General features: G+C 36.6%; 1 long non-coding RNA gene across 1 annotated transcript; it reads right to left on the reverse strand.

Moving 5' to 3' along the window:
• Positions 1-450: 450 nt before the first annotated feature.
• LINC01822 (long intergenic non-protein coding RNA 1822) lies at positions 451-23669 on the reverse strand. The gene is made up of 3 exons (NR_038837.1): positions 23612-23669; positions 23166-23343; positions 451-2341 (listed from the first exon to the last, which is right to left on the reverse strand). It is a non-coding gene; the product is annotated as a long intergenic non-protein coding RNA 1822 (long non-coding RNA).
• Between the last annotated feature and the right edge of the window lie 1600 nt (positions 23670-25269).

Raw genomic sequence — 25269 nt, forward strand, 5'->3', positions numbered from 1 at the left:
ACATGGATTCTATTTATATAAATTGGAAAAATCATGCAATTATTTTGGTGTGTACTATAATTTTTTATAGGTCCTTTTGTGAACCTCATCTTCTGGGAGTCACTTGCTAGGATGTGATACTGGTTATAGCTGAGGAAGAGAAAAACCGTGGTGGAGATATGTCCTTAGGAGAATCAGAAGCCCTTGTAAGGAAAGAACATGGCAGGAAAACCAGTATAAGTTCACAAGAAAGAAGAAACGATCCTCCTCAAACAGGAAGGAAAGCTGCTTTTACTGAAAAAAATTTAGGCCAACCATGAATCTCATTTCTGTCACTACATCTTTCTGTTTTCTGGACATTTCATACAAAGGGATCATATATGTGGTCTTTTGTGACAAGATTCTTTCACTTAGCATAATGTTTTAAAGGCAAATTCATGCTGTAGCATGCGTCAGTACTTCATTCCTTTTAATGGCTGAATAATTTTCCATTGTTTATTTCAATAATAAGCCACATTTTGTTTATGCATTTGTCAGTTGATAGACATTTGGGTTGTTTCCACCTTTTATCTATAGTGAATAATGTTGCTATGAACATCCATGTACAAGTTTTTGTACACATTTGCCTATGTTTTGTTTGTATTTATCTTGGGTAGATATCTAAGAATAGAATTTCTGGGTCCTGTATTTCTACTAATCCTAAGAGATAACTAGTACAATCTCTGTTTCACTGAAAAAGAAACTGGGATTCAGAGGAGTTGGACTGCTAGTCATGTCGCAGAGCAAATAGAAAGTGAGATTAACACTCAGCGCTCTTTAAGTCCAGAGCTCACATTTCTCTATGCTTCTCTGCTGGGTGAGAGCACTGCAGATGCATCAACATTCATGCATGCCATGCAGACAACCCACAAGTGCAGACACACACAGTGATTGGAATGACATCAGATGTGGTTTAAGACAAGCCTGACTTCATCATAACTATTCTCTCCCTCACACCAACTCCCCTGCTAGAAATACACTTTCTAGCTGAATCTACCTCCCTTCTATGGATTTTTCATCTTTGTTTTTAGGGAGCAGAGTCAGATTTACTTTTCATATGAACTAGCCTTAGGGGCTATGCAGGGGAAGACACAACAGCATCCCTAATATTGGAATCTCTCTCTAAGACCTACAGGAATGAACACCCCTGAATATTGCCAGATATAGAGGCTTCCAATAGACCATCAGGCAACTCATTCCCCAGAGTCCCCATCTTTATTTCTCAGTATGGGCCACTACCTCTGTGCATACATGTAAGGGACTGAGGACTCTTTACCTGAAATATAACTCTTTAGGATTGACTACCATCTCCCCAACTAAGATGCAGAAATCATACAAACTTATGTATATTTTGTAAGAGCAAGCAGTTCAAAATTGGATTACCTTTCCACATTTTCATACAAAGTAGATTAATGTGCCCCTGTCTTTATTACATTTTCCACCCTTGTCATTTGTGATTAGGCCAACACTGTGAAGATGTATTATGGATTGGCTAAATGGGAACATTAAAACATTGGCTATATATCAGAGAAGCTCAAGCAAGTTGATGTGTGCTACACACACCCTTGGTAAAATATGTCTGAAATATTTCACGTCTTTTTGGACAGAGAAATTTTTCTACAGCACCAAAAGTAATAGGAAGTACAGAAGAAAGAAAAGAGAAGACATAGGGGAAAATACTAACTTTTGTTCTAGATAATGGAAGAGGTCTATTCTCCCTGCAATAATTTTGATATGGAATTTCTCATAGATGAGGCTCTTAAACCAAAATCATCACCTGGGTTTGGAGAAGAAGGAAAAACATGGGCTATAACCAAGATTCCTAGTTCACATAAGGAAGGGTGTTTGACCAGGCCCCCATCTTATTGTCTTGAGCTTATATTCCATCTCTTCTAGGTCATTCCTGCCCTGAGAGTACCTTAACGGCTCAGGCTTCTTATAGAAACAGCTAAACAGCTGAGAGGCAAATCGTGTATCTGTACAGGTGTCATCTCATTCTTAGTCACATGATGGATAATCTCCAGGCTGGAAGGCTCAGGCAATGGGATTAAGCAGTTCTGGTAGGAGAAAGAAGGGATCATGGCCAAAAAAATCTATTTCTAAGAAGAGGACAATCCTATTGCTCCCCTAAAAAGACTCCTACCTGTAACACACTCTTGCCTCTACTTCATAACTTCTTTCCCAAACATGTTCATGAGAGTAATTCTGGACAGCTCTGAGGCCTGCAGCTGCAGTACCTTTCCATGACAGGTTGCCCAGGCTGCAGAGCCAGTCTCTTTCTGGTCAGCTGTCACCTCTTCTGCTCTTCTGGCTCCCCTGGTGCCTTGAAGGGAAAAATAATGAATAGATCAGAGAAAGTCTCCCACTTCTTGACACTTTTTTCACCTTGCAAACATAATTCCATGAATATATCTTAGCCTGGGCCCATGGTCTGGGTCTGTGTAGGATGGTATAAATGCATCAGAAAAGGGCTTCTCTTTTTAATATTAGCATGGTTAGAGGAAAGCAAAGAGAGCGCAAAGCAGCTTCAAATTAAGCCAGGTTTTGTTGATGATGTTATGATGATCCTATATCTCTTATTCTAGTCTGGTTTTTTCCAGTTGTACTTTGTGATTGAATGCAGTGGAAACAACAGAGGTAGGGTCCTTATGCTAAAGAAATTTGTGGAGGAGCCAGACAAATAATACCAATAAATTGTTAGTTATGAAGAAGAAAATAAAACAGGGAGATATAATACAGTGAATTGAAGAGGCCAGTTTATCAATAGCAGAGAGGTGACTTTTGATGTAAATCTCAGCTAGATCCGAAATTGACTGGAGGGTTTGGGGCAGCAACCTGGTGGAGCCAACATTCTGAACATGAGTCCTCAGATAGAAGTCATGGTGGGCAAGGCTGAAGAACCTTGTTTCTAATGTATGGTAGGAATTGCAATTTCTCAAACATCAGTTGCCATTTCAATAGAGAATGAAAGAATTTGCTAAAAGCCTACTTGAAATATAGGATTGAATAAGGAATTCTGCACTTTAACCTGTTTTCCAACTGCATCTTTGAGAAGAGGACACAGAGATTCAATGATGAATTCAACAAATGTTGATTGAAACAGAAACAGTCACTATGGCATAGAGTTTTTAATGAGATGAAAGACACTGACAGTGAAATAATGGCAGAAGTATAGTTGACACTGTGAAATGTACTATAAAGGAAAATGAGAGTGTAGTCTAGGAATAGGTAAGAGGGGCATTAATTCTTATGTGGAATCTCAAGGAAGTCTTCCCCAAAGGATGTCATTTGAACTGACAGACTGGAGTTTGTGTGTTAACAAGGTGTTTTGCATAGGGTGGAGGTAGGGAGCTTCCTGGCAGAAGAAACTCTAAATGCAAAGATCTTGTGGCAGAAAGGAACAGGTTCTGTTTAGGAGCCTGGGAAAAGCTCGGACCGGGAGAGCACCAGATGGGTCTGGTGATGGAAGCAAGTGCTAGAATATAAAGAATCCTGTAGATGATGTGAAGTTAATTGATTTTTCATCCTAAGAACGATGGCAAGTTCTTGAAGAATTTTCACCTGGGGAGCCATAAGTTCATTTGCAGTTTTAAAAGGTCGTTCTGCGCAAGAGAAGAGTAGATATAGAAAAACAAATTAGGAGGCTATCTAGAGAGTTCAAATAAGAAATCATAGTGCCTTAGACTAATATGATAGCAGGACAGAAATGAAGATATTAATGATATATTTACAGGGTTAAACCCACAGGACTTGCTAATGTACCAGAATATAGCAAGAAAGATGTATCAAGGTTGATCCTTGATATGGTTAGGCTTTGTGTTCCCACCTGAGTCTCATCTTGAATTGTAATCCCCATAATCCCCAGGTGTCAAGGGAGCGACCAGGTGGAGGTAATTGAATCATGGGGGCAGTTTCCTCCACGCTGTTCTCGTGATAGTGAGTGAGTTCTCATGAGATCTGATAGTTTTATAAGGGGCTATCTCCCTTTGCTTGGCACTTCCTCCTTTCACCTTGCGAAGAAGGTGTCTTGTTTCCCGTTCAGCCTTCTGCCGTGATTGTAACTTTCCTGAGGCCTCGCCAGCCATGCTGAACTGTGAGTCAATTAAACCTCTTTCATTTATAAATTACCCAGTCTTGGGCAGTTCTTTATAGCAGTTTAAAAAATGGACTAATACAATCTGTAAGTGTTTTTAATTTTTTCTAATTTTTTTTAAACATTTTAATACAGTTGCAATGGTAGTAGTTCCTTTCCCTTGATAGAGAATAGGCAATGATAAATTTGGTGAAAGGAGACAAGCTGCATATTCTGTTGACAAATAATGGCTGTGAATTATTCTTAACTGGCTCAAGGATGAGAAGAGGAGGAATTGTGTGGGTGAGGAAGATTCTTTATGCAGCCAAAATAAACAACTTCAGACACAGGAGAAGCTAGGGGAGATTTCTGAAAATATTGTATTCTAAGTTCCAGAAGAAAATTGTAGGAAACTGTCTTTCTCCTTAGAGTGCGAGAGTATTCTTTATAAAATAGAAATTAAAACTATAAGGAGAGGTAGTAATGTGACGTGCTGGAGAGGTAACAGGTAACATCTTATGAAAAGAGAGATGAGGGAAGTTCTCAGGAAGTCTAAGAGCACAAAGAGGGTGATGAGGCAGAGGAGGTAGGTGTGATGATGCAGCAATTTAATCTGTCATGTAGAAAAACAATTTAGATATCTCAAAATTGGCTTGGCATGGTGGCTCACGCCTGTAATCCCAGCACTTTGGGAGGCTGAGGCGGGCAGATCACTTGAGGTCAGGAGTTCGAGACCTGCCTGGCCAACATGGTAAAACCTCATCACTACTGAAAAAAGAAATACAAAAATTAGCCTGGCATGATGGCACACACCGGTAATCCCAGCTTCTCAGGAGGCTGGGGCACCAGAATGGCTTGAACCTGGGAGGCGGAGGTTGCAGTGAGCAAAGATCGCATCACTGCACTCCAGCCTGGGTGACAGTGAGACTCCATCAATAAATAAATAAATAAATAAATAAATCTCAAAATGCAAAGCCATAGGGTAACAAAATTAAAAAAAAAAACATAGTGGGCAGGGAATGGCAACACAAGACTAATTAATTACCAAACAGGTAGCAGGGAGGGGAAAATACAAACATATTTTTTTCAACTGAAGAAAGACCTACGTAGATTGAAGAGTCTCACAACATTACAGGCATGATCAGCTAAATAAAATACCTACAAACTTACTAACAAAAATTTGAATTCATTAGCGGGGAAAAGACAAAACTAGAAATATAGTGTCTTAAAGTAATGAAATTATTGAATTTTTGCTCTTTAACACCAACAGTCAGATAATAGATGAGAATTGATAGGATTTTGAAGAAACATTTTTGTAAATTGAGATTATTTTATCCAGACTCCTTGATTTTTGTTTTATGTAGAAAGGTATAGGAAAACATTTTTAGATATGCAAAGGCTCAGATCTTCTATCAGCCAAGTACACTCAAAACATAAAGGTGTCTGTGTGTACATACCCATGCTCTTGAAGATATAGCCTTCTGATAAGGAGATGAAGAAGACATAGAAGCCAAAAGTAAGAAATGCAGATGTTACAAAGAGGTGGAAGAAAACCCATTTCAAATAAAAGTAAAAATATTTTATAACTAGTTATAAAACTAAGTCTAAACTTTAAAAAACATTGTCAAATCAATGATATATTAAAAATGACATATTTATAAATTTCAAGATTACACAGACAAAAAGAGAGAGAAGTATAGGAGAAAAGAAGATTCCATGTTATGAAAGGTTGGGGAACTAAAAACATTTTATTTTCTCTTACCGCCAATATCAAACATATGATTGAAACGACAGGGCTTGATTTTATTTTCCTGTCTCTCTTTTTGGAATAGGACAAACACTGCCCTTCTCTCCATTATGTTCTTCTATTTAGATCCTAAATTATGCTTCCAGGAAGTTCTTGACTCTGACTCGTATTGAGCTATACTGACAAAAGGTGAAAGTAGAAAGTTAGACAAATAAAATTTATACACTGTGAAGACCAGCACGATGACAAGACCTTTATAATATTAATACATTATTTTCATATAAACTGTAGTAAAGAGAGGCCCCATGACCTCATCCTTGTTCTGATGTTGTTTCTTAGCTAAAATATAAAAAATTGCATTTATACTATTTTAATTTATTCTTGTTAATTTCAGCCTAGTGCTCCCCCCCTCCATCAGGGCTCCCTTATCAGACTTTGGCTCCATCCCTCTTAGATTTGAACCATCTGGAGATTTGGCCAACAGCCACTTCTGCCTTCATCTAAACTCCTGTTTGGCAAACTTTAATCATTCAGAGACCAAAGTCACAATTTTCACACAATTTTTGACATACTTTGACATATTAACATGCAATAAATTTAATATTTTTCTTTAAATAATTTATATTTACATAAATTTATTTTAAAAGAAATTTTATAGCATAGATTTTATGTAAATCTCTATATAAACTCATTTTGGTCTGTGTGTCAAAACTCTCATCTGAGCCACCCACCAATAGTGCAATAGTACCTTTTAGGAACACACTGATTGTAGTCGTCAATATAATGGTAGGTAGGACCACAATGAAATGTGTATCTCATTTGTGATTCCACTTTCTGCTCTAAGGCCAGAGCTCCAGATAATATAGAAAGCCACAATTTAAGGCCATTGACTGATATAGTGAAGGCTGTGTGAAAGTTCTCTCACTCAGAGACATTTTTTAGTCTTGACATATTTGCATTGGCTTTAAAAAGTTCATATTATTTTACATAGTTTATTTGGCTCTTAGCATCTGATGCTAAAATTATTTCAGCTGAGCTTATATCTGACTCTACATTTCAATGGTCTTTCTGGAGACTATAAATTTTCTGATTTAGGTGCAAATATGCTTGGAGCAAATCATCTGAATCTATTTGCATTTTTAGTGAAAAATTCCAGACTCAATGATTTATCAAATTCAGTAGTGGTTTTGACCAATATGTGTATCACTCCATGCAATTAAAACAAGATAAAATATAATTTAATTTGTCATGCCAGTGGGGCATGAAAGAGTATTTTTTCTTTGTTTTAAATTCTGCCTTTGTCACCCCAAAATATCCCATATACATTAGGCTACAAGTTATTATTCAGATAAGATGATTAGTACAGTTTCTTTAAAATGGATTTAAATCTTTGGTAAGGATAGAAATGGTAATATTCAATGCAGAGATCAAAATGACAAGAGATAGTCATCTTCATTCTCCAGGGCACCATCTGATCACCAGCTGGGGTCAGAAAGAAATTTGTCTGGCCAAAGAAAAAGTGTCATATAATTCATTCCAATTGGTGCCTAATGCAAACACTTTCCTCTCTCAGACCCAGCAGGTGTGGGCGACTCTTAACGATGCATCATCCTATTTTTCTACAGTAATTTTTCTCCATTATATTATCATTCCTTCCTTTATCTACTCCCTGTCTCAGTGCCTCTTTCTTTCATTACTTTCCTTCTTCATGCTCTGCCCTTTTCCTCTCCCCCTTAACTAATGAATTGGATATGCATTTGGGCTTCAGAACTCTCACTCTCAGAAGCTCTGTCTGTCCCTTCACCTCTAATGGTGTGTTAGGCACCCACATCATCCTGCCATCATTTATTCTGTCCAGCTATTAATTCGCAGTAAAATTCTAGTGTCAATTGCAGAAGCCAGCTGCTGTTTGGACAATACTGTCAATGAGAGTGTAAAATGCAAAATGACAAGTTCCATTCTACCTAATGGGAGGTGTCAGCTTAAACAGGGTTTTCAATGTCTTGAAGTAGAGGTCAATTTCAGGAAAAATGTTTTCTCATAGGAATCCTTATGTTCATGGAACCTAAAGATAAATAGGCAAGGTTCTATATATGTGCTACAGAAATTTAAATCCATATTGAGGTAGACTATCTCATGTTTCATCACATGCCTTACATGGTACTGAGACATTTGGAATGTTATATTTAAGATTCCATTTCAAATATCATTGACGAAGACCAGCAGGCTAGTAGTAGTAATAGTGGTAGCAGCAGTAGTAGTAATATATTAATGCATTAACTTTTTTCTTTTGCATAGCTTCTTCAACTTTTAACATGTTATGTTTAGTAAACCTGTATCCAGTAAGCATTTATTATATGCTTGGGATCATGCTAGGTGAATTACATACTATTGCCAGTTTTTTATTTTTTGTACATAGAAAATGGCTGAACATTAGGCATTTCATGTGAGTCGACAATTTCCTATTTAATTGTCACAACAAAGCTGCGAGGTAATTATTAGTCCTATTCTATGTATGAAGAAACTAAGGATCAGAGTGTCTTTTGTGGAGTATGTAGCAGAGTAGGGCTTCAGACTCCAATTATGCATGTTTTCCTTACCCCTACACAAAGCGTTCCTCCAGTCTTCTTTTGTTACTCATAACATTTCTGTTTGTTAAACTAAAGTTTCAGGAAAGAACTCAGGATCCTTAATTTGCTGCTAATCCAGCACCGTGCAGATTGTGAACATTGAATGTGAACTCCTTTCATTGTTTCTGAACCCAGGATATTTCTTTTTTCTCCTCTTAAAAACATAGTTTCTAGGCACATATGTTCTAACAACAGGAAGTTTACTAGAGCCATTATGCTCTTACTTTAGGAATTCCTATGAGACAGGGACTATGGCGAGAACAAGGGTGCTTGGTCCCTTTGTACCAAGCATGCTTGTGGCAGACAGGCCACAGGTATACTTGCCTCACCTTTGATGATATGGCCCACAGCAAGGAAGACACCTCCAGCACAGAGGGCCTTTCATCAGTGAGCAAAGGTAGTACCTGGAGAACAAATCCTTCAAGACTGGTAAAGCTCTGTGTTCTTCCCAGATGGCCTCCCTGGAACCAAGCTGGGTGTTCTCCTGGCCAGTGAAATCTCTGGAGCTTACAAGCCATCAGCAAAGGGAAAATTGGAAAACCTTTTCACTGAAGCATTCACATACTACTGAAGCTCAGTTATGTACAGCTCGAACCAGGACTTGAACCTACCAGTGTCCAGAAACCATGCCCTTAGAGTTGGAGTAGTCAAAGTGGAGAAAAGACAAGTCCATATATCTAATTATTCACCTTCTAGAAAAAGCAGTCTTATTAAAATCTCTTGTATTATTTAGCCCAAGGTCCTAGGCCAAACAACTACCATTGTTCCACACTGCACCTGTTCTTCATCCTGGGTGGATTAGGAACTCTTAGTTTGCCATCATCTCCTTTCATGACAGTCTCAATCATTGCAGCCAAACACTTTAGAACCATTCGTGATTTTTGTAGCATACTCAGTTTTCCAAATGAATAATAAATATAATTCTGTCAACTATTTCGGGAACCCATGTATTATTTTTATTTTTTTTTCTGAGGGAAATAAGAAATCTATTTGCTTTTGCACAGTATATGGCAGTCAGAAGTACCTCATTCATTCACTTTTTATTCATTTGATGCATGAAAAAAAGGCATTAAATGTATTTCAGTGTGTCACCTCAAATTCTGTGCAGCGAACAGTGATGAATATGCTTGGTTCCTCAGCTGGGGTACTGTTTCATTTTTTTGTGACAATATCATTTGACAAGGCGATTCTGCATTGGCAATATTGTATCATATTTTTGTCTGCATGTAAATTATGTTGACAGTCTCATAAACATAAATTGGCAGGCATACTGTCCCAGAGCAATGTTTGTTAAAATACACTAATGGAATAGAATAAATAAATTTTTCCAAAGCATTAATAACACAGTGGTGTGTCACTGCATTGTGCAAGAAGTTCTATGGGATATGGTACTGTCTATGCTAAATTAATATCACATATATTTCTTTATATATATTTTATTCAATCTCATGCTTATGTTTATAGATTAGTCATTCCATTTCACAGAGCTTTGTATAATAGCGGTCACCCACTTGTGATATTTTTAAAGAAGTCAGCATCGTCTGTGGCAGATATCTATAATGGAACATGTGTAAGGTGCAATTCATGTCTGACATTGTTATTACGTTGCTTTGTTCCAGATAGGGCTTCCTCTTTCTCACCCGCCAACCCAAGGACACACACTTAGCAGGCCTCTATCCTGATGGAGCAGGCAGATTCTACAGTGGGCAGATCTAAAGCAGTGCCAAACAACTGGGCACATACTTCATTTATATTTTTGGACCACAAAGATAATTTCCCTTCCAGATGTCTGTGGACAGACAGGATGGGGCACTGGCAAAAGTATGAACTATTCCATACTTTTTCACTTCTTTAACTTACTAGAAATGTGACCTTTGGTAAAACCCAAAATCTCTTTGAGCCTCAATTACTGTATAACTGGAATAATCATGAATAAGGATAGATATCAACATTGAGATGTTGATTGTATTGCAATTGATGTGGTGTCTGGTTCATAACAGGCAAGGAGTATCTTAAAAGAATGAATGGAGGAAGATAAAATGAGAGAAAGACAGAAACAAATACAATGAATTTAGCAATTTTATTTGATCAGATGATGGAAAATTTATATGCTGTGTCTCCAAACATATAAATGCTTGGAGCATAGAGAAATGGATAAAATTTTGAATTTTTGCAGAGTCAAGTCAGAGTGTACATTGGATTCCACATGTACCCTGACTCATCTGCCTCCTGGATGGTAGCTCATGTACCCCTCTTTGGGTTTTCTAAATATCATCTTCCCTATTAACAGAGACCTGACACAGCTGTGACTTCTGATATTTGGGGAGAAAAGCTGAAGAACTAGGATTTTAAGATGAAAATTATAGGAAAGCAGTAGGGTTGGTCCCTAAGGGCCATGCCTGTGATCAGACTTGGGCCAGAATACTTGTATGGTTGTTGCCTCTAATATCTGTTGCTTCAGCTTTATCTGGTCTCTCTCAGCTTTTACCCTGAGACTTTACAGAAGCACATTGTAAACTATTCATCTAGAAGAAAACATGTTTGTACATCAGTGCTAAACAAAGAAGGTTAGCGAACACAGGTCTTGCATCAGATGCATAAAACCAAACCATGTAAATATATAGGTCATACAAGAGGAGAAAGTTCATATTTAATACACGGCTTCACTATAAGATATTATGTTTAAAGTTCAGTAACCACACTGATTAACCACAAAGATACGGTCCACCATATTGCTGTTATACCAGAGAGATTTTATCAAAGAGGTAAAATGTAAGAATTATTTATATGATTTAAGCAATAGTCAAGGCAAGAAATTATGAATGCTTAGACTAATATGGCAGCTATAGGTGAGAAAGTGAATGTGGGGACAGGTGGTGCTTCATAAAACTAAGAGGCAGGATTTTGTCAAATTAAACAGCAGGTATTATTGAGCACCTAATACTTATGAAACATTATGCTGGACTTATGAATAAACAGGAGAAGTTTAACATACCTTCTGTAGTTGTCAAGAGTTTACAATTCTATTGATGATATAAGCCTCACATATAAGCCAGTTCTTTATATATGTATATATGGTGGTCTCTTTTTATAGTTTGAGCCCAAAGCATTATTTAAAATCAATTTTTATTTTAAGTTCCAGGTACATGTGCAGGATGCACAGGTTTGTTACATAAGTAAATGTGTGCCATGGTAGTTTGCTTCACAGATCAACCCATCGCCCAGGTATTAAGCCCACACCTAATAGCTGTTCTTCCTGATTCTCTCCAAGAACCAGAGCTCAGCTCACTAATCCAAGTTAGCATGGCTTCTCAGATTCTGCCTCTTTAGGGCCTAGGTATCCATTTCTCAAGAGTGTTGCCCTCTGAATACTCACAGATGAATATTCCACAAGAATTGTCCTTGGCCTAAGGTAGTTGCCTTGTTCAAAGTTACTCTGTCTCTCTAGGGGCAATATAAATTCAATGACTGCTCTATGGGGAGATGCAGAGTCCCAGCCCCCTTGCCTCCATTGAGTACAGCTCTGAAGGTCTATTCTAGCTATAGAGCTCTCTCTGTGGGACTGGCTACTGTCCCTGTTGCAATGCATCACCATTCAACATAGCCCTGTGCCCAATCTTACTTTCCTCCCTTGGTGATACTTGTTTTTCCTGAGAGCACTCCCCAATAAACCACCTGCACACAAACCTGCAGCTTGGACTCTGTTTTCTGGGAAACCTGATCTACCTGCCACAGCTTGTGTGTTTTAAGGTTCAAAGAGCAGTACACATAATAAATTCTGTAGAAATATTGAAGAAGAGAGAGTATACATTTTGTATAATTGAACATCTCGTTATTTCCCAAACCTTGCAAAAATGCTTGTTGCATGCATGGTCAGCCCAATATACTTTTGCTAGATGAATGGCTTGTGTGCTCAGGAAAACTGGCTAGATGTTGACAGGCAGGAGGGAAAATAACTATATAGTGATTGACTTGGGTAGCAGAAAGAATATTGTTATCATTCTCAAAAATAAAGAATTGAACCAAGGGAGGAAATGTGAACTGATTGTTCCTTGTTGTGTTGAGTCTCAGGATGTTTAATAGACTGGAATTTTGGAACTGAATTAAGTGTAAGTTCAGTGTTCATTTTTCCTTTTGATATCTGACTCTGTTTCTGAAGGAATAGAGAAAAAGTCACTTATTGGTCCCAGCACTTGTACTCTGAGGTACTATAAACCTTTCTCTCCTAGAGAGTCCTAAAGAAGAATTTTCAAAGGCAATTTATCAAATATATATATATATATATTTGAAAATACCAAATATATATATGTGTGTGTGTTTATACTTTCGTAAAAACTTCCTAGAGCACAACTTGTAGTTAAGATGTGCTAACTCTTTGATATAATTCTGCATTTAGAAATGTATTCTAAGAAAGTAATTCAGATATATGAAAGAATGAACCTCAAATTGATTATTAAAACAGTATTTAATCATAGCAAACAACTGATAACATAAATGCATTAGATAATTTAGATTATTTTTATTATTGATAATTTAACAATGCCATCGATTGCTTCCCTCAAATGCAATATTATATGTTCATTAAATCAATGCTAGTTGAATATTTATCAATTTGGAAGAATAGTCACATACAATTTTAGAAGGTATAAAGTATTAGCTATAGTATAATATTCTTTTTTGCTTACAAAATAAACGTGTATTTGGTACATATGTGAGTATGTATGTGTATATGTATTTGTATATATGTACACATACATGTATCTGTGTCTTTCTCTTCATATATATACACACATATATATAAATAACCTTCATATATACACACACACATATATATACACACATATATACATATATATACATATATATACGTATATATATACACATATATACGTATATATATATACACATATATATATAACTAACCTTCATATATACACACACACATATATACACACATATATACATATATATACATATATACATATATATACACATATATATACACATATATATATATACACATATATATATATATATATATATATACACACACACATATATATATATAACTTTCAAGGACTCAGAGGAAATACACCAAAGTGTAATAGTGGTTGTTCAGTAGAGAGATTGTGAAAATTCTTTTTAATTTATATTTTTCTGTTTTACTATTGTCTTTCTGTCCTCCCTCTTACATTTTTAGTTTCCTCTCTATCCAGATTAAGTGCCTTGATCTATTACTTTAGCTATTTTCTTGTCAATATGCTAAACTAACTTGTGATTATCATATGTGGCTGGCAGAGTCTCAACTGTGATTGACTCTAACTGTAGAAATTTGTACAGTTCTATGTCCAACTCTGGGCTGCTGATAACAGCTCAGCAAATTATACCCAGGTCAACTGGGAATGCTAAAAATAGAGGGTTAGACTCATGTGCACCATACAAACATAACTGCTTATTTACCCATTCAGTTCTCACTCTCATTGCCCCCAGCAACCATTTCAAACTCCCTCTCTTGTCTTCAAATTTCTAACCACCTTGACCTCCATGTTCTGTTACCTTTCTCAATCTTCAAGTAGTCAACCTGAGCTTCAGATTTATCTAGAAAATAGAACACATTGGATGGGAAACTTCTCATTCTACAAATGACCCAAGTCTATATGTCTGCCTCTTCCTATTCCCTTTTTCTTTTCAGTTCCACTCATTACAATGGAAGTCCAATTCTTCCAGTTCCTTGGATCCATTCCTTCACATGTAATAAAGGCCAGGGCACCACATGCTGCCCCCTTTTAACTTCACTTCCTGTATATCCTTCCCCAGTAGCTCTTTACCACCACTTTTCTTGCCTTAATTTTATCATCCTGTTGACATTTTAAAAAATATTTTTGTGTTATAGGAAATATCTTAGATTTATACAAGGTTAAGTATGTAATGTTTTCTTGTGGGTAAAAAAATAGACAGTAACATATGAAAACATCCATGTACAAATTATTTTAACCTGCTGCCGTATTTGCTTCTGGTTATTAAAAATGCAAAATAAAACCCCAAATATTAGGAATCCTGTCAAAGAATTTTCTAATTTCCTTCTTCCCAGAGATAACTATTATCCTGAAGTTTGTGTGCATTATTCCTGCTTGTATTTTTTATACTTCTAGGACACATAGTCTATCCATTAAAAGCTATATAGTATTTATGGTTTTTAAATTAACTCTTAATTAAAACTAATTAAGAGTGGCAATAATGTATGCATCATTCTACTAGCTGTTTATTTTCTTACTCTTCATTATTTCTGGAATCTATCTAATTTATACATGTAGATCTTGTTAATTTTAATTGTTGCACAGTATTTCATGGTATGCATATACTGTAATTTATTGATCCATTTCCACACTTACGGGCATTTAAGTTTGTTAGAGTGTTCAGCTATTACAAACAACGATGCAGTCAGTAACATTGGACATGTCTCCCTGTCAACATAAGTACAAATTTCTCCTTTGAGTAGATTTTGCTTATTTACAGATAAAATTACAATAAAAGTGTGGGATTTTTTTCTGCATAAACCTGTTATTTTTCTGTCATCTTATTTATATTCTCCATTTATCTTTTTTCCCTCCTACTTTTCCTCCAGTTTCCCTGACTGACTTTCTTAATTCATTTTTCTTCTCCAGGTTGATTTGAAAGTTATGCATGCTATTTCTATTGTTTAGTGATTATTCTTACATTTTAACAAATTTATTTTATGTATCTTGAACATGAGTCCTAGGCTATTCCATATCTCTCTTCCTTCCCACAAAATAAGAGTTTTAAGCATAACTTCTGTCCAAAAATTCCACCTCACCCAGTGCTTTTTTTCGACTGTTGTTTTGATGATGACAGCTTTTGAATCTCATCAGTATAACCTTGCATGGATTATGCTTAAATAAACAGTAAAATTACTTTCTCTTTTAGAGTATGCAAGATGAACATCTACCATGCAAAAGTTAGGACATGGAAACAGTGGAAAATCCCATTGGTTAAAAAGTCTGGCTGCATTTTTTTGATGCCCAACTACTGACAGTTTTAAAGCCTTATCCTTTCTTTTTCCCTTCTGCCCCGTATCTGGGCAAGCTGATTAAAAAAAAAAAAAAAAAAACAAACCCTGGCACTCCCTCCCTTGTCTCCAGAGGGAGGTTCATATCACATAATCCCTTTTCCTTGTGTGGGAACCTTTACCCAAGACCAACCCCCTAACCACAATAAAAATTTTGAGCCTAAGGATGGGGCATTTTCTAGCTCTCAAGTCATTTTCAGATCTGTTTGAGGGCTTCCTGCTTGCACTAGAAAGCCTTTTTATGTGAATGTTAAGTCTTTTTATATCCTCTTGTTGCAAGTGTGGCATCAACAGTCTAGACACAAAGCAAATTTGGGATGGGGGTCCATCCTGTTTCTCTGGAGTGGTGACAACACCATACAAATCCAACTGAGCCACATCAAATTTTCCTTCCCAATAATTCCTTAGAAATTACACCGGAAATTCTCACATCACCTCATCTTCTACTTTTAGGTCAGAGCTAAACACAGTCTGCATATTCTAAGACAAACACCGGTGATAGATAAAACTGACACTGCTCAAAGATTATAACAAAAACAAAGTTCAGGCTTTATTATAAATATAAAAATAATGGAAAAAGAACATGAGGTTTCAGAAGTAAAAGGGTACCATTGGTATAGATTACTGTAAATAAAAGATAAGAACATTCTGTAAACCATTATTCATGAAGCTAATTCTGTGAAAATACGAGAAATATATGAGAAGTTCATGAAATCAAAAGATGATTTATGAGGAATGAATGGGCTAAAATGAAAAGGAAACAGATTGGGATGAAAGGTTCCAGCTGAGATGATGATGATAAACAACTATACCAATGATACCAACACAAATGATGCTGCAATAGACTGAATGTTTGTTTCTTCTCAGAATGTATCCTTTGGGTTTAAATCCTAATCTCCAATGTAATGGCATTTAGGAGGTGGAGCCTTTTGGAAGTGATTAGGTTATGAATTACCTCCCTCATGAATGGGATGAGTGCCTTTATGAAAGTGACCTAAGAGCTCTCCAGCACCTTCCAGTATGTAAGGACACAGGGAGAGGATAGCAGTTTGCAACCTGGAAAATGTCCCTTACCAGAACCTGATCATGCTGATACCCTGATCTTGAACTTCCAGCCTCCAGAACTGTGATACATAAGTTTCTGTTCTTTATAAGCCACACAGTCTATGATACCTTGTTACAGCAGCTGAACTAAGGCAGATACTAAGAATCATGCTCACTATTTAGTTTGATTACTATAAAGAGTTCGAGATGATCCAATAAATAACATCCTCCTTCTCCATTCAAGTTTGAGTTTATTGTTAAAATATGTAAATGCATGTATTAATATTAATACAAATAGGTCAAAATATTGTGCTTCTTACAGGTAAAACTGATAACTGAGGGTGTAGCTTTCCTTTACAGGCAAGGATGTACTAATACTAATGCTGAATCTCAAAATTAGGCTTCCCTAGTCAATGGTGCAGGCCCAGGAAGACCTGGAAACATGGAGCAATTAACCCACTTATGCCCAGTGTTTCATTATTGGAATGCTAAGCATGTGGGAGTTATTTATATCCTACTGCTCAGGGTCATCACCAAGGTTTGATTTTTCACTCATGTAAAAATTCAAAAAATTGCAACCTCAGGCATAAATGGGTTAAGGGGGAGGTAGTTCTAAACAGACAACTTGCAAAAAGAAGAGAAGTAGGATGAGCATGCCAAACTCCTTATATCTAACTCATAAGTAAGGTGCATGCCTCCTTTTCGCAAAAGATAGGAGTGACTGAAGGCCTGGAAGGAGGCCAGTGTTATAAGTATTGGTGATTCTCCATAGGAGACTAAACCTTAGTAATACACTTTTTCCCAGTTACCCCCATCATGCCCATAGGCGATCAGAGGTGTAAACATTCCACTTACAGGAAGAGGTCAACAGTTGGGAAAGTCATATTCATACTTCATGACACCACTCATCCAATAATAAACATGGTTCTTTGGGTATTTTCCTGAGTTTATCAGTGGGAAATATGAAATTTTGTTCCTATGAGGAACTAAAATGCTTCCGAAAAATACACCAATTGATGAAGTCAAAATCTATTCTGTACACAAAGCTTAATTTCTATAATCTTTCTATCCAAACTAGACATAACTAGGTTTCCCAACATAGTCTATCAGAGGTTCTGCAGAATAATAAACACGGAAATTATATACAGATTTTTAAAATTTGAACATACTTTTCAATATCAAATTCTGAGCAAGGAATTAAATTTCAAATATTAAACCCCCTTGCATTTTACAACTCGAAATAAAGATGGAAATTTTTTTAAAATTTTCCTATTGAGAAACAATTCCAAAGAAATTTAAATTTGAAATTTCTCCTAGAGAAAGGAGTATGGTACAGTGAAGAAGAACATGGACTTCAGGGTCAGGATACCTGGGTTTTAATATCTGTTCTATCACTTAATTGATATAAAATTTGCTTAATTGGTAAAAATTAAATGCTTCTCTGCTTTTCTCAATAAAATGAAGAAAATTTTATTCTTGATTTTAGTATGAGGATTAAATGAATGAATATAAATCAGATTGTTAGTGCAGTGCCTGACATTCACACTATGTGATGGTGAGTAATATTGCAGTATTCTCCTAAATGTATCATGCTGCTCAATTTAAGCTAGAATAATTCTCGTGTACTAGATAAAGCCTAGATGCTTTCAGATTTGTATTAGTTCAATTCCATTCTCCTATGTGTTTCGTTTTTTTTAATTGTGGGAGATAAAAACATAACATTGATCTCAAATAATAGAATTATGAAAACAAGGTAATTCCTGCCTCCTAGAGCAATTATCTCCATGTAAAACATTTTTCTAGGACCCCTTTCAGTAAACCATTTGTGTTTTGAATCAAATACATCCTGCCTCCCTTCAACCCTTGGTGTCCCACTATTTCCTACCATCTAGGATGTCAAAAAGTTGATTTCAGTTGCCTATAATTCATAGGAAAACTAAGGAGATGCTTTTTAACAAGATGTTACTTTTGGCTAATGCTGGTCACTTGTTACCAATTGCTCTACCAATGCTTGCATGAGTAACTAGATCTGCTACTTGAACGGATTTCCAGAGAACTTCAATATCACCAGCTGCTCACTATTAACTTCTCATATATTTTAAATGCCTTAATTCCTGAGATCCTTATATATGTGTCAAATTTTAGCTCATCTATGTCCTGTGGTAAGCTCAATTGGAAAAAAATTCTCAATAGAAGCTGATTTTGGCATTATGTATTTACCATATTCTCCTAACATCTCCTTTCTGTGAAAGTAGCATTTAAGGTATTGAGACTTTATAGTAAAGTCAGAAATTTGCAATAATAGCATTTCCAGTCACCAGGGCTTGTGTGAGGTGCATTTGTTTTTCAGTTAATATATTCTAAACTTCTTCAATTTTATTTTCATTTCGGAGTGCAGAATTGAGGGTGGGTTACATCTAGTGACACAGCATCTGTAATCCTATGCCACACTCTTCCACTGCCTCTTGCTATAAATTTCCTTGACCTGAAGACACTTGAGTTATCTCCTGGGGAATCTTCTCACATATACTATATTAAACCAGACCACAGCTGACTTGATACTAGCTATTGGGCGTGACTTTTCAGTCTCTGGAAAAGACACAAAAAGTCCACTAACAATCTTTCCTTGGCCCTGGATGCAGAATGGAATTTGGCAACTGGTCTAGGACTATCAAGCTAGTTCTGATCCTAACAATATATAGCTAGAACCTCGCTAGTTTCAGAAGAATATGAAAAGCTCAGTTATTTTGTTAAAAGAAGCAATCTTTATTACATAAATTCAAGCAAATGTGTGCAAATTAGCCTGTAATACCAGACCCACTGCATCTATATAGTTTGAGGTCAAGCTTCACTAGGACCGTTAGGCTACATAAGGTTGTCTGGACCCACTGGAGCCCAAAGTTTGCTTGTTAGTATCCTCGCAGGCCACCAACTTTGTTAGCACTTGTCTGGTTCCCATTATCTACCTAGTTCCCTGTGCCTTTCCTGAACCTGTACATCCTATTCAAGTTTGCTAAGTACTATGTTGTTTTGCTTAGGCAGGAGCACTCAATCTTTTGGCTTCCCTGAGCCACACTGGAGGAAGAATTGTCTTGGGCCACACATAAAATACACTGACACTAATAATAGCTAATGAGCTAAAAATAAAAATCACAAAAAACTCATAATCTTTTAAGAAAGTTTATATATTTGTTTTGGGCTGAATGAAAGCCATCCGGGGCACATGTGGCCAGAGGGCCATGGGTTGGACAAGCTTGGCTTAGAAGCTGGTGTATATAGTTCCACTGCTACAGAAACAACCATTTGTCCTTAGGTAAAAAAGTTGCAGTGACAAACCAAAGTCAAAAATTCCCTCAAACGTCTGATGAATGGATAAACAAAATATTGTATATTTACACACTTGAATATGATTCAGCCATAAAAAGAATGAAGACATGATTTATTCTAGAACATAGATGAACCTAAAAATATTATGCTAAGTGAAAGAAGACACAAGACCACATATTGTATGATTCGATTTGTATTAAGCGTCCAAAATAGGAAACTACACAGGGACAGCAAGTAGATTAGTGGTTGTCACAGCTGGGGACAGGGTGAATTAGGAATGACTGCCAATAGGTACAAGGACGTCTTTCTGGGCTGATGGAGATGTTTTAGAATTAGTGGTAAGGAGTGCACAACTTTGTGAATACATAAAAAGCATTGAATTGAAAAAATTTTATGATATGAGAATTGCATCAATAGAAAGAAGAAAGGCTTAAAACTATATAACACTGCTAAAAACCTCCTAAATTGATGAGTCACATGAAAAACAAGTGTGCAAGTTTACAGAAGCTTTTTCATCAAGCATCTGGCATTCTCCATGGGTTAAGCCATTCCCCAGCATGTCAGCAAGGCATAAAGCATCAATGATTACCTCAAGCTCAGAGAAATTCTCTGCTATAAGTTAGGCATATCCAAAGAACAAGATAGCAAGGTATGCTATATGAGATATCATCCTTACTCATTGTTATTCAAATGTCAGCAAGAACCATAAACAACACAATAAAGACGACAAATACTTGAACATGGAATAGAAAGTAGGGTTATGTTCCCATGAAACAAACCATTTCTTCTCATTTTGGAGCGCCTAGTTTACCCTTTGAAGCATTAAACTCAGAGTTCAGAAGCATTTACAGAATTTACTCTTGAAGTATTAAATATATGCAGCTATCGTGAAAAATAAAGGAAAATTCCCACGTGGCCATTGCCTAGCATAGCACCTTCCCAGCTGACAGCCATGCACATCAGCTGTGCCATAAGCATCAAACTCCAGACATAATTTGTATCTCTCAGAATGCATTCCAAATTCTTTTCTTTAAGATGCCCAGCCTAATAAACCAGATACTGGGAATTTAAGGTGACCCAACAGACACACTGCTTTTTTTTTTTTTTTTCCACCTGAGTTTGAACCAAGGAAGAGGTAGTGGAAGAAACAGTAAGTAAATCAGAGTAACATATTTATTAAAAAGTTAAACTTTGACCAAGAGCAATCAAGAAAACGTGTCTGCTCTCTTCAAGTAGGCAAGGAAATTCCTAAAGGAAGCGAGAAAAGGGGATGAGAATTTATCCCTCACCTATCCTTCAGGCAACTGGAAGGGAGGAAAAAAGATGGAGAGGAGAGGGATGGAAGTATTTCTCCATTGGGTGCGTGGTTAAATGGAAGAAAACATCAGCAGTGGGGTGGTATGTCCTTTCTTCCAACATTATAACATGCTTAGTTTCAAGTGTTTTTTACATTTTGTTCAATTTAATCCTGACAACAAACCCATGAGGCAGGCACATTTACTGTGTCCATTTTACAGATGAGATAACTGAAGCTCGGCCAGGGCAAATTATTTGCAAGAGGTCACACAGAACAGCTGGTCTCTACCACCAAAGTGGTCTCTTTCGAGATAAAATTAAAAAACAAAAACAAAAAACCCCACTAAACAGATCCCGGGGGAAAGAAAGGAGTAAAATTAAATCCTCATAAGAAAGAATAAAGTACAGAACTTCCACTACAAAAAACAGCAAATCAGTGTTGTATAGGTAAACATCGGAATGAAGAAAAAGGTCACAGGAATGAATATGAAGAAAGAAAAGAATAGATAGGAGAGCAAAGACCAGAGAGCTAGTATATGAATAATAGGGGTCCCCAGAGAGGAAAGCAGAACAAATGAAGCTGAAACAACAAAATCACAGCAGAATATTTTCCTATCCTGTAAAAATAAATTGCAGTTTTCAGATAGTCTTGCCATGTTTTGAAGCAAAAATACATTTAATAACACTGAGCACTTAATATATTGCTAGAAAGTTATTATATATATTGTTTAGTACTTTGATAAGAAAGAGATAGCAAAATATAGTCCTTTCCCTCAAGGGGCTAAAAATCTATTGGAAAAAGCACATAAAAATATAATTGTTTAATATATGGCAAAGTCAGTGATGGACATAATGTAGGTTTGTTGTAGCACCAAAGCAAGGCAAAGTATTGGTTAAGGGCTTAATGTGTCTATGGGAGCAGGCATCCAAGACAATATGAGATGTAAATAATGAATTATGTCCAAGCACTAGATGAAGGGAGATGGAAAGCATAGCTATTCAAGACAGCAGGACAATGTGGAGGAATATATAATAATAACCAGATAATATTCTATGGGAAAATACACAGTTTCTTGTTTCTGGATCAAAGAAATCCAAGGTGGGAGTTAAGAAGCTCAGGGCCAGAAAAGTGGGCAAAAGTGAGTTTCAACGACTGTGTGTGCCATGTTGTGAAGTAGACACTTTATTCTGAGGTGATAGAACATCACTGAAGAGTTTTTTGTAGGGTAAGGAAAATTTTCATGTGACATGAAGCACTGTTTACTTCTCAGAGGGTGTACTAGAGAAAAGGAGACTAGTTGAAAGGCTATTGCCAAAGTCTGGGTAAGAAATAACAAAGACTCAGGATAGAAGGGAGTAGTTACAGCAGAAAACAGGATGGATGTGAGAAATGTTCAGCTGTGAAAATAGAATTAAGTAACTCATGGATAGGCTGAAGGGTAAAATGGGTAAGAAGGGCTCAGTGATGCCTTCTGTATTTCTAGCTTGATGACTGTGTTATGAGGCTGGAACATGATGAACAGAGAAATAAAATGTTGCATATTAAATTTGTAATCCTCCCTAAGAGGAGATGCAAAGTTATTGTTTTATTCTTAATTTTGATAATTACTTAAATATAGGTTTGACTGCCATTTAACAAAATCTGAAACTCGTCACTAGGAGAATTACATGTTTGTCAACATGCCAAAATCCCATAGAAAATTATTTAAAAATATAGCCCATGTGGTCAAATGCTGAGCCAGATGAAAGAGCAAAGTGGCAAAAACAAAACAGAAAAAGCACACCCAGAAAGCGTGAAACAGGATTACAGAATTTAATATAGGCAGAGTTTTGAAAATAAATGTACTTTAAACACATTCATTAAAAAAAAAAAACTCTCAAATTGGGTTAACAATATACAACTTCTTGGATATTATGGCAGCAGCCTGGTCATGCCTGACTTACCTTTCATCACTTTCAGTTAAACACTCCAAAGTGTCCAGCCCGAGATAAAAGCTGACAGCAACACAGCTGGTTGATGAAAAGAGAAGCCCATATTCAAATTCCAGTACTAAGCCCGCTGGCAGGACGTTTGATGAGATGTTCCCAGAAGCACAAACTTGACCAGAGAACAGTCTTCTCTCTGGAAAGAAATTGATTGTGAAAGTCACCTTCCACCTTCCACTACCTGGCTGTCTCCCATCCCACATCCTGGACACGTTTCAATGTACTCTATCTCAGTCAAGGGCACAGCGATCTATCCCGTTTTTATACCTGGCTCCTAACACTTTCTGTATTAGTCTGTTATCATGCTGCTAATAAAGACATACCAAACACTGGGTAATTAATAAAGGAAAGAGGTTTAATTGACTCACAGTTTAGCATGGCTGTGGAGACCTCAGGAAACTTACCAATATGGTGGAAAGGGAAGCAAACATGTCCTTCTTAACAGGAGTGCAGGGGAACTACCCTTTATAAAACCATCAGATCTCGTGAGACTTACTCACTGTCATGAGAACAGCACAGGAACCTCATGATTCCATTACTTCCCATCAGGTCCCTCCCACAACACGTGGGGATTATGGGAGCTACAATTCAAGATGAGATCTAGGTGACGAACCAACCAAATCATATCACTGTCCCTTTCCTCATGCCTGCTATCCAATCTGTCAGCAGTTCTGAGTATTTTACCTCCAAACTCTTTTACATTTGATTGCTTTTCTTTCTACCACCATCACCATAGTCCAAGCTACTTTCACTCCTGAACTTCTTAAGCAATTCCCCCACAATCTATTTCTTGCTCTTTCATTTATAAAGGTTTTCCTGGAGTGCCAGAGTTACATTACACGTGCATGTCACTCTTTTTGGCACCATAGAGACCAAAGTACTGAACAAGACAAGATCCCTGGTCTGAAAGAGCCTACGTTTTAGTTAGATTGACAGCTAGTGTCTGCTTGTATTACCTTTCACCAGGTAAGCTACTTGCTTTGGGGAAAACCAAACAGGATAAAGGCTGGGTCCTTCGTGAAGAAAAGATCTTGGAGAAAGTAGAGTACAGAGACCATAGCCGAAGTCTTGGTAGAATATGGTTGGCTTGAATGGGGCTATCACTGGGAGTCCTGGAAAATACAAAGCAGCAAAAAAGCAGAAAAAAAAATCACTAAAATTACACAAAATTTACTGGTAGCAAGCACAATGCATCGTATACATATTGTTTTCTTTGAAAATTTTGATCTAACAACTTTTGATCTAACACTCTTTGGAAACTAAAAAAGCAATACTCACACATGTGTAAATATTAGATAGTTAAGAATATTCTTTGCAGCACTACTGCTGCAAGATATGGTAAGAAAAGGATTAGCTCAGAATATATTTGCAGAGAAGAGCCATGGAATTTGAACTGGACGTGGAATGTGAGGGAAAGAGGACTCCTTATTGAATGAAAGAAAGGTGATACTAAATTGGTGGAGCTATTTGTTTGAAGTGTGAGACTTGGGGAAGAAGTCTGCTGCACAAGTGGAAATAATTCAATGGTATTCTTGGACTTTTTTTGATAATAGAGAGATACTAATATTTTGTACATATCAACTTTTGTAGAAAGTCTTAAAATGTCTTAATCCACTTTACACTTTATTAAGTGGAGTCTAATGAAGAAATTGAGTATTTATTTTCTGCCTGATGCTCTTGCGAGTCATTATCGTTGTTCTGAATATCAGTTGTCACTATTCAGGCCTCTGACATGAGATATGCAAGATGAAGGAGATTCTAGACAAATAGAAGAACCACAGTGCTTGATTTCAAAATTTTCAAAGAAAACAGTATGTATACGGTGCACTGTGCTTGCTACCAGTAAATTGTGTAATTTTAGTGATTTTTATTCTGCTTTTTTGCTACTTTGCATTTTCCAGGACTCCCAATGATAGCAAAATCTGTGGGTCCTCAAGTCCCTTGTGTAAAATGATGTGGTATTTGCATAAACTATGTCATCATCTCATATATTCTAAGTCATCTCAAGATTACTTAAAATACCTAATACAATTTAAATGCTGGGTAAATAGTTGTTATACTG

Source organism: Homo sapiens, chromosome 2 (assembly GCF_000001405.40).
Source record: "Homo sapiens chromosome 2, GRCh38.p14 Primary Assembly".
Classification (NCBI taxonomy): Eukaryota; Metazoa; Chordata; class Mammalia; order Primates; family Hominidae; genus Homo; species Homo sapiens.